The sequence below is a fragment of the Homo sapiens genome, chromosome 10 (assembly GCF_000001405.40).
Source record: "Homo sapiens chromosome 10, GRCh38.p14 Primary Assembly".
In the NCBI taxonomy this organism is placed as follows: domain Eukaryota; kingdom Metazoa; phylum Chordata; class Mammalia; order Primates; family Hominidae; genus Homo; species Homo sapiens.
In genome coordinates, this window is record NC_000010.11 from 122867275 (window position 1) to 122877708 (window position 10434).

The 10434-nt window shown below is 39.7% G+C and overlaps 1 protein-coding gene and 1 long non-coding RNA gene across 4 annotated transcripts in view, besides 2 other annotated features; both read right to left on the reverse strand.

Annotated features, from left to right (window-relative positions):
- FAM24B-CUZD1 (FAM24B-CUZD1 readthrough) overlaps positions 1 to 10434 on the reverse strand; it is a 47487-nt gene that overhangs the window by 35120 nt on the left and 1933 nt on the right. The gene's annotated exons all lie outside the window — the stretch shown is intronic.
- The window catches only part of FAM24B (family with sequence similarity 24 member B), a 30564-nt gene that overhangs the window by 18197 nt on the left and 1933 nt on the right, over positions 1 to 10434 (reverse strand). The window lies entirely within an intron of this gene.
- Positions 8516 to 9036: an enhancer, noted in NCBI's record as "OCT4-NANOG hESC enhancer chr10:124635306-124635826 (GRCh37/hg19 assembly coordinates)". NCBI's record gives its function as "activates a minimal SCP1, AML or CMV promoter by ChIP-STARR-seq in primed H9 embryonic stem cells {active_cell/tissue: H9 hESC(primed)}" and the evidence as "EXISTENCE:reporter gene assay evidence [ECO:0000049][PMID:30033119]".
- Positions 9037 to 9556: an enhancer, noted in NCBI's record as "OCT4-NANOG hESC enhancer chr10:124635827-124636346 (GRCh37/hg19 assembly coordinates)". NCBI's record gives its function as "activates a minimal SCP1, AML or CMV promoter by ChIP-STARR-seq in primed H9 embryonic stem cells {active_cell/tissue: H9 hESC(primed)}" and the evidence as "EXISTENCE:reporter gene assay evidence [ECO:0000049][PMID:30033119]".

Below are 10434 nucleotides of genomic sequence, written 5' to 3' on the forward strand. Positions count from 1 at the left end.
GGTAAACAAAGCAGCTGGGAAGATTGAACTGGGTGGAGTCCACCACAGCTCAAGGAGGCCTGCCTGCCTCTGTAGGCTCCACCTCTGGGGGCAGGGCACAGACAAACAAAAGACAGCAATAACCTCTGCAGACTTAAATGTCCCTGTCTGACAGCTTTGAAGAGAGTAGTGGTTCTCCCAGCACACAGCTTGAGATCTGAGAACAGGCAGACTGCCTCCTCAAGTGGGTCCCTGACCCCTGAGTAGCCTAACTGGGAGGCACCCCCTAGTAGGAGCGGACTGACACCTCACATGGCCGGGTACTCCTCTGAGACAAAACATCCAGAGAAACGAACAGGCAGCAGCATTTGCGGTTCACCAATATCCGCTGTTCTGCAGCCACCGCTGCTGATACCCAGGCAAACAGGGTCTGGAGTGGACCTCCAGTAAACTCCAACAGACTTGCAGCTGAGGGTCCTGAGAGTTAGAAGGAAAACTAACAAACAGAAAGGACATCCACACCAAAAACCCATCTGTACGTCACCAACATCAAAGACCAAAGGTAGATAAAACCACAAAGATGGGGAAAAAACAGAGCCGAAAAACCGGAAACTCTAAAAATCAGAGCGCCTCTCCTCCTCCAAAGGAACGCAGCTCCTCACTAGCAATGGAACAAAGCTGGATGGAGAATGACTTTGACGAGTTGAGAGAGGAAGGCTTCAGAAGATCAAACTACTCCGAGCTAAAGGAGGAAGTTCAAACCAATGGCAAAGAAGTTAAAAACTTTGAAAAAAATTAGATGAATGGATATAACTAGAATAATCAATGCAGAGAAGTCCTTAAAGGACCTGATGGAGATGAAAACCATGGCACGAGAACTACGTGATAAATGCACAAGCCTCAGTAACTGATGCAATCAACTGGAAGAAAGGGTATCAGCGATGGAAGATGAAATGAAGCGTGAAGAGAATTTTAGAGAAAAAAGAATAAAAAGAAACGAACAAAGCCTCCAAGAAATATGGGACTATGTGAAAAGACCAAATCTACGTCTAATTGGTGTACCTGAAAGTGATGAGGAGAATGGAACCAAGTTGGAAAACACTCTGCAGGATATTATCCAGGAGAACTTCCCCAATCTAGCAAGGCAGGCCAACATTCAAATTCAGGAAATATAGAGAACGCCACAAAGATACTCCTGGAGAAGAGCAACTCCAAGACACATAATTGTCAGATTCACCAAAGTTGAAATGAAGGAAAAAATGTTAAGGGCAGCCAGAGAGAAAGGTCGGGTTACCCACAAAGGGAAGCCCATCAGACTAACAGCTGATCTCTCGGCAGAAACTCTACAAGCCAGAAGAGAGTGGGGGCCAATATTCAACATTCTTAAAGAAAAGAATTTTCAACCCAGAATTTCATATCCAGCCAAACTAAGCTTCATAAGTGAAGGAGAAATAAAATCCTTTACAGATAAGCAAATGCTGAGAGATTTTGTCACCACCAGGCCTGCCCTAAAAGACCTCCTGAAGGAAGCACTAAACATGGAAAGGAACAACTGGTACCAGCCATTACAAAAACATGCCAAACTGTAAAGACCATCAAGGCTAGGAAGAAGCTGCATCAACTATCGAGCAAAATAACCAGCTAACATCATAATGACAGGATAAAATTCACACATAACAACACTAACCTTAAAGGTAAATGGGCTAAATGCTCCAATTAAAAGGCACAGACTGGCAAACTGGATAAAGAGTCAAGACCCATCAGTGTGCTGTATTCAGGAAACCCATCTCACGTGCAGAGACACACATAGGCTCAAAATAAAGGGATGGAGGAAGATCTACCAAGCAAATGGAAAACAAAAAAAGGCAGGGGTTGCAATCCTAGTCTCTGATAAAACAGACTTTAAACCAACAAAGATCAAAAGAGACAAAGAAGGCCATTACATAATGGTAAAGGGATCAATTCAACAAGAAGAACTAACTATCCTAAATATATATGCACCCAGTACAGGAGCACCCAGATTCATAAAGCAAGTCCTGAGTGACCTACAAAGAGACTTAGACTCCCACACAATAATAATGGGAGACTTTAACACCCCACTGTCAACATTAGGCAGATCAACCAGACAGAAAGTTAACAAGGATATCCAGGAATTGAACTCAACTCTGCACCAAGTGGACCTAACAGACATCTACAGAACTCTCCACCCCAAATCAACAGAATACACATTCTTTTAAGCACCACACCACACCTATTCCAAAATTGACCACATACTTGGAAGTAAAGCACTCCTCAGCAAATGTAAAAGAACAGAAATTATAACAAACTGTCTCTCAGACCACAGTGCAATCAAACTAGAACTCAGGATTAAGAAACTCACTCAAAAGCGCTCAACTACATGGAAACTGAACAACCTGCTCCTGAATGACTACTGGGTACATAACGAAATGAAGGCAGAAATAAAGAGGTTCTTTGAAACCAACGAGAACAAAGACACAGCATACCAGAATCTCTGGGACACATTCAAAGCAGTGTGTAGAGGGAAATTTATAGCACTAAATGCCCACAAGAGAAAGGAGGGAAGATCTAAAATTGACACCCTAACATCACAATTAAAAGAACTAGAGAAGCAAAAGCAAACACATTCAAAAGCTAGCAGAAGGCAAGAAACAACTAAGATCAGAGCAGAACTGAAGGAAATAGAGACACAAAAAGCCCTTCAAAAAAATCAATGAATCCAGGAGCTGGTTTTTTGAAAAGATCAACAAAATTGATAGACCGCTAGTAAGACTAATAAAGAAGAAAAGAGAGAAGAATCACATAGACCCAATAAAAAATGACAAACGGGATATCACCACTGATCCCACAGAAATACAAACTACCATCAGAGAATACTATAAACACCTCTATGCAAATAAACTAGAAAATCTAGAAGAAATGGAAAAATTCCTCGACACATACACTCTCCCAAGACTAAACCAGAAAGAAGTTGAATCTCTGAATAGACCAATAACAGGTGCTGAAATTGAGGCAATAATTAATAGCTTACCAACCAAAAAAAGTCCAGGACCAGATGGATTCACAGCCGAATTCTACCAGAGGTACAAGGAGGAGCTGGTACCATTCCTTCTGAAACTATTCCAATCAATAGAAAAAGAGGGAATCCTCCCTAACTCATTTTATGAGGCCAGCATCATTCTGATACCAAAGCCCGGCAGAGACACAACCAAAAAAGAGAATTTTAGACCAATATCCTTGATGAACATTGATGCAAAAATCCTCAATAAAATACTGGCAAACTGAATCCAGCAGCACATCAAAAAGCTTATCCACCATGATCCAGTGGGCTTCATCCCTGGGATGCAAGGCTGGTTCAACATATGCAAATCAATAAACGTAATCCAGCATATAAACAGAAACAAAGACAAAAACCACAAGATTATCTCAATAGATGCAGAAAAGGCCTTTGACAAAATTCAACAACCTTCATGCTAAAAACTCTCAATAAATTAGGTATTGACGGGACGTATCTCAAAATAATAAGAGCTATCTATGACAAACCCATAGCCAATATCATACTGAATGGACAAAAACTGGAAGCATTCCCTTTGAAAACTGGCACAAGACAGGGATGCCCTCTCTCACCACTCCTATTCAACATAGTGTTGGAAGCTTTGGCCAGGGCAATCAGGCAGAAGAAGGAAATAAAGGGCATTCAATTAGGAAAAGAGGAAGTCAAATTGTCCCTGTTTGCAGAGGACATGATTGTAAATCTAGAAAACCCCATCGTCTCAGCTCAAAATCTCCTTAAGCTGATAGGCAACTTCAGCAAAGTCTCAGGATACAAAATCAATGTACAAAAATCACAAGCATTCTTATACACCAACAACAGACAAACAGAGAGCCAAATCATGAGTGAACTCCCATTCACAATTGCTTCAAAGAGAATAAAATACCTAGGAATCCAACTTACAAGGGATGTGAAGGACCTCTTCAAGGAGAACTACAAACCACTGCTCAATGAAATAAAAGAGGATACAAACAAATGGAAGAACATTCCATGCTCATGGGTAGGAAGAATCAATATTGTGCAAATGGCCATACTACCCAAGGTAATTTATAGATTTAATGCCATCCCCATCAAGCTACCAATGACTTTCTTCACAGAATTGGAAAAAACTACTTAAAAGTTCATATGGAACCAAAAAAGAGCCCGCATCGCCAAGTCAATCCTAAGCCAAAAGAACAAAGCTGGAGGCATCACGCTACCTGACTTCAAACTATACTACAGGGCTACAGTAACCAAAACAGCATGGTACTGGTACCAAAACAGAGATATAGACCGATGGAACAGAACAGAGCCCTCAGAAATAATGCCGCGTATCTACAACTATCTGATCTTTGACAAACCTGACAAAAAGAAGAAATGGGGAAAGGATTCCCTATTTAATAAATGGTGCTGGGAAAACTGGCTAGCCATATGTAGAAAGCTGAAACTGGATCCCTTCCTTACACCTTATACAAAAATTAATTCAAGATGGATTAAAGACTTACATGTTAGACCTAAAACCATAAAAACCCTAGAAGAAAACCTAGGCAATACCATTCAGGACATAGGCATGGGGCAAGGACTTCATGTCTAAAACACCAAAAGCAATGGCAACAAAAGCCAAAATTGACAAACGGGATCTAATTAAACTAAAGAGCTTCTGCACAGCAAAAGAAACCACCGTCAGAGTGAACAGGCAACCTACAGAATGGGAGAAAATTTTTGCAACCTACTCATCTGACAAAGGGCTAATATCCAGAATCTGCAATGAACTCAAAACAAATTTACAAGAAAAAAACAACCCTATCAAAAAGTGGGCGAAGGATATGAACAGACACTTCTCAAAAGAAGATATTTATGCAGCCAAAAAACACATGAAAAAATGCTCATCATCACTGGCCATCAGAGAAATGCAAATCAAAACCACAATGAGATACCACCTCATACCAGTTAGAATGGCAATCAGTAAAAAGTCAGGAAACAACAGGTGCTGGAGAGGATGTGGAGAAACAGGAACACTTTTACACTGTTGGTGGGACTGTAAACTAGTTCAACCATTGTGGAAGTCAGTGTGGCGATTCCTCAAGGATCTAGAAGTAGAAATACCATTTGACCCAGCCATCCCATTACTGGGTATATGCCCAAAGGATTATAAATCATGCTGCTATAAAGACACATGCACACATATATTTATTGTGGCATTATTCACAATAGCAAAGACTTGGAACCAACCCAAATGTCCAACAATGATAGACTGGATTAAGAAAATGTGGCACATATACACCATGGAATACTATGCAGCCATAAAAAATGATGAGTTCATGTCCTTTGTAGGGACATGGATGAAGCTGGAAACCATCATTCTCAGCAAACTATCGCAAGGACAGAAAACCAAACACCGCATGTTCTCACTCATAGGTGGGAATTGAACAATGAGAACACATGGACACAGGAAGGGGAACATCACACTCTGGGGACTGTGGTGGGGTGGGAGGAGGGGGGACGGATAGCATTAGGAGATATACCTAATGTTAAATGACGAGTTAATGGGTGCAGCACACCAACATGGCACATGTATACGTATGTAACAAACCTGCATGTTGTGCACATGTACCCTAAAACTTAAAGTATAACAATACAAAAATAAAATAAAATAAAAAAAGAACAGGTTGAAGCTAATAGAGGTCAGTTCATGAGGTTTAAAAAATAAACCATCTCCATAACATAAAAGTGCAAGGTGTAACAGGAAGGTACAGCAAGTTATCTAGAAGCTGCTCTAGCTAGGATAATTCATGAAGGTGGCCACATTTAACAATGGATTTTCAGTATAGATGAAAACAGACTTCTATAGGACAAAGATGCCCTCTAGGACTTGCACAGCTAGAGAGGTCAACGCCTGGCTTCAAAGCTGATTCTGACTCAAAAGTCAGGCTGACTTTGTTGCTGGGGACTAATATAGCTGATGATTTCAAGTTTAAGCCAACGCTCATTTACCATTCTGAAAATCCTAGGGCTCTTAAGAATTATGCTAAATCTGCTCTGTCTTTGCTTTATAAATGGAACAACAAAACCAGGATGACAACACATTGGTTTACTGAATATTTTAAGCTCCCTGCTGTGACCTCCTGCTCAGAAAAAAGTTCCTTTCAATACATTAGTGCTAACTGATGCTTGGCCAGGGCCACCCAAGAGCTCGGATGGTGATGTACAAGGAGATTAATGTTTTCATGTCTACCAACACAACATCCATTCCGCAGCCCATGGATCAAGGAGTAATTTCAACTTTCAAGTCTTATTGTATAAGAAATACATTTCATAAGGCTTTAGTAGCCATAGATAGCAATTTCTCACAGTATCTCTTAGGTGTGCCTATATATTGCTCTTCTTTCTCTAGTTTCTTAAGGTGAAAGCTTACATAATAGATTTTAGATCATTCTTTTCCAACATGTACTCAGTACTCTCCGTTTCCCTGTAAGCACTGCTCTTGTTGAATTCTACAAATTCTGATGAATTGTATTTTCACTTTCATTTAGTTTGAAATATTTTTAAATTTCTCTTGAAACTTCGAGCCAAGTGTTATTTTAGAAATATGTCTGTTAATCTCCAAATATTTTAGGATTTTTCAAGTATTTTCCTGTTACAAATTTCTAATTAAATACCATTGTGATCTAGGAACATACTTTGTATAATTTCTATTCTTTTACATTTGTTAAGGGGTGTTTTATGGCCTAGAATGTGCTCTATCTTGGTAAATGTTCTAGGAGTGTTTCAGAAAAATGTGTATTCTGCTATTGTTGACGTGTCCTATTAATACCAATTAGATCCAGTGGACAGATGGTACAATTCAGTTCAACTATATTCTTACTGATTTTCTGCATGCTGAAACTGTCAATTACTGATCCAGGGTTGTTGAAGTCTCCAAGAGTAATAGTGAATTTGTCTATTTCTCTTTGCAGTTCTATCAATTTTTGCTTCACATATTTGATGCTCTGTTGTTAGGTACATATACATTAAGGATTTTATTTTGCCTTCATTTATTCCTTCTCTGATGCTCTTCCTTTATATAGATCCAAGTTCATGACCTTGGATCATTTTCCTTCCCTCTGGAGAACTTATTTTAATATTTTTTGCAACACAGGTTTATCACTGACAAATTTCCTTAGCTTTTGTTTAAGAAAATCTTTAAGTCTCCTTCACTTCTGAAAGGTAATTCTTGTGGATACATTCTAGGTTGGTGTGATTTCTCTTTCAACATTGTAAATATTTCACTCCAGTCCCTTCTTGCTTGGTTTCTAATCAGAAATATAATTCTTTTCTTGTTCCTCTATAGCATGTATTTTTTCCTCTGGCTCCTTTCAATGACTCTTTGACTTTGGTTTTCCCATCTTGAATATAATATGCCTAGGTACAGACTAAGCTTGTCCAACCTACAGCCTGCGGGCTGTATACGGCCCTGGACGGCTTTGAATGCAACCCAACACAAATTTGTAAACTTTCTTAAAACAGCATGAGGTTTTTTTTGCAATTTTTAAGCTCATCAGCCATTGTTAGCGTTACTGCATTTTATGTGTGGCCCAAGACAATTCTTCTTTTCCCAGGGTAGCCCAGGGGCACCCCTGGTACAGACCTTTTAGTATTTATCTTGCTTGGTGTTCTCCAAGCTTCCTGCTCTAAGAACGGGTTTGGTGTCATTAATTTTGGATAATTCCCAACCATTATTTCTCACATATTTCTTCTACTCTCTTCTCTTTCTTCTACTTCTGGTATTACCATTATACATGTTATTACAAGTTTTATAACTGTCCAGCAGTTCTTGGATAGTCTACTTTTTCATCTCTATTTTCTTTGCTTTTCAGTTTTTATTAACAGTTCTTCAAGCTCATTTATTCTTTGGCCTGTCCAGTCTCCTGATAAACCCATCAAAGGCATTCATTTGTCACATTGTTTTTTGACTTCTATCATTTCCTTTTATATCTTCCTTAGAGTTTCCATATCTCTGCTTACATTACCCATTCACTCTTGTATGCTATCTGCTTTTTCCATTAGAGCCCTTATATATCAATCATAGCTACCTTAAATTCCCTACTTGAGAATTACAAAATCTGCATCATATGTAAGAATGGTTCTGATATTTCCTTTGTTTCTTGTTCTTTCTTGCCTTTTACCGTGCTTTGTAAATCTTTGTTGAAAGCCAGACATAATATATCTGGAAGAATATATAGAAACTGAGGTAATCAGGCTACTTGATTCATGTCAATCTGACTAGAAGTTAGGCTGTGTTTAATGTTTGCTGTAGTTATCAGTGTCAGAGGCTTCAATCTACTATTCTTGCTTTGAGTTTCCACATTGTCATTGTCTTTGGGTATCCCCAGAGACTCCTTTTAAATAAAATGTAGTCTGATAATAATTGGTCACAGCTGGCACTAGGGAAAGGCAGTCTCCTAATTAAAAAAAAAAACCCTGAAACTGGTGATCAACGGCTTGCCGATAAGATCTCAGGAGTTGGACAAGTGGGTTCAAGCATGTGCACTAAGAGGCAAAATGGCAGAGTTTAACTGGTATATGACCTTCTAAGAACATTTGATGGGTAAGAGAAGAATGCTTCAAGTGAGCATGCATACAACTCCAGTAAACACACTATGCATACAGCCCCGCCCTAGTGCTGGCACGCCACTGAGCATGCAGACAGCCCACCCTGAGGGAAGAATTAGCAAGAAATAATGCAACCCTGGAAGCATGTCAACATGTAAGACCCAAAATCAAAGGTCCAACCACGCACTTGATCTCTCAAGGCGCTTGCTTGGCCCTCTTCCAAGTGTACTTTTACTTCCTTTTGTTCCACCTCTAAAGCTTTTAAATAAATTTTTCCTTTTGCCCTAAAACTTGCCTTGGTCTCTCACTCTTCCTTATGACCCTTGGTCGAATTCTTTCTTCTGACAAGAATTGAGGTTGCTGCAGCCCCCTGCAGATTCACTACCACTAACAACGGGAAGGCTAGAGGGGGCTGGAATCTTCTAATTGCCCTTTCCCTAGAACAGATAAGGCTCTGGTAAAGTACTTTCCCTTGAGAGAAGGCTTTTGTTAGGGAAATGCTGAGGGCAGTTTTCAAAAAGGTTACTTTGCCCCCTCCTTCTGCACAAAGCAGGAGGGAGTTTTAATCCAATCCTTGTCCTAAGAATCTGCTGCAGCTCTGAAAAGTAAAACTCCCAAAAGTGTAAGGGCACCATATGAGTGGTCTCCCAGGAGTTTCTAACTGTCAAGCTAACTCACACTCAGCATCCAGCAAGTCATCAATGACCATTTTAAGTGTTCCTACCATTTGCTGCCTCATGAGGATTTCTGTTCCTAGCATGCTGATATCAGTTGTGATTTTCTGTATTTGCCTACCCAGTTTGGGGGTGGCCATTTGCTTTGTGACCTCCATTATCTGATGGATATTTTAAAGGCTGTTAATGTTCCATTTGTTCAGCTTTTTTCTTGTGAGGACAGTTGTGATTGACTTCTAAGTGGTTTACGTGTCACAGATGAAACCAGAAGTGTTAAAAAATAAGAAAAGAGCACACAAAAACAAAAGCTTTCTAGAATATTCAATATTTTGAGGGTAAAAGGTCCTGGGACTAAAGTGTTTGATTGCCACTATGCAAAGGCACTCTGTTAGCAACAGTAGATACATATATGATTCTACTCTAAATTCTACAAGTTATATATAATAAACTTCTCTTTAAAACAGTCAAGCCAAAAAAATACATTGTGATATTGGTGGAAAGATTTCAAAGATATGCCTTATTCTTTATTTCAAGTGAAAAAATAAAAATAAAGCAAAAAATACCATTTGCCATTCACGACAAGAGTAATTTACATTAAAATTGAGGTCACCTAGGCACCAGCACAACACCCTGGCTTTGTAACCATCTGAAGGGTTCTTCCTGCCTGCTACACAAAGATCATGGCATTGTAGTAAAGAAAGAGTTTAATAGACATAAGGCCAGCCACAATTCTCATCCAAAGCTTATAGGTTAGGGATTTTTCAGAGGCAGTTTGGGGGAAGTGGTGGAGGTCGCTAGGCTTGCTGCTGATTAGTTGGGGCAGAGATGAAATCACAAGGGGTGAAGCTGTCCTCTTGCACATTGAGTCACTTCTGGGTGGGGCTGTAGGAATGGTGGGTGTCAGACATGCAAAAAAACCCTGAAAAGATATCTCAAAAGGCCAGTCTACAATAGTGGTGTTATCTGCAGGAATAATTGGGGAAGTTGCATATCTTATAACCTTCTGAATAATAACTGATAATAGTTCATGTCTGCACCTTAGCAGGACCCAGGCTCCTCTCCTCCTGCCAGCCTGATGCAAAAGCAGTTGAGTTTGGGGGAAGGCCTATGATAATTTAAACTATAGCCTAAATGTCCCAA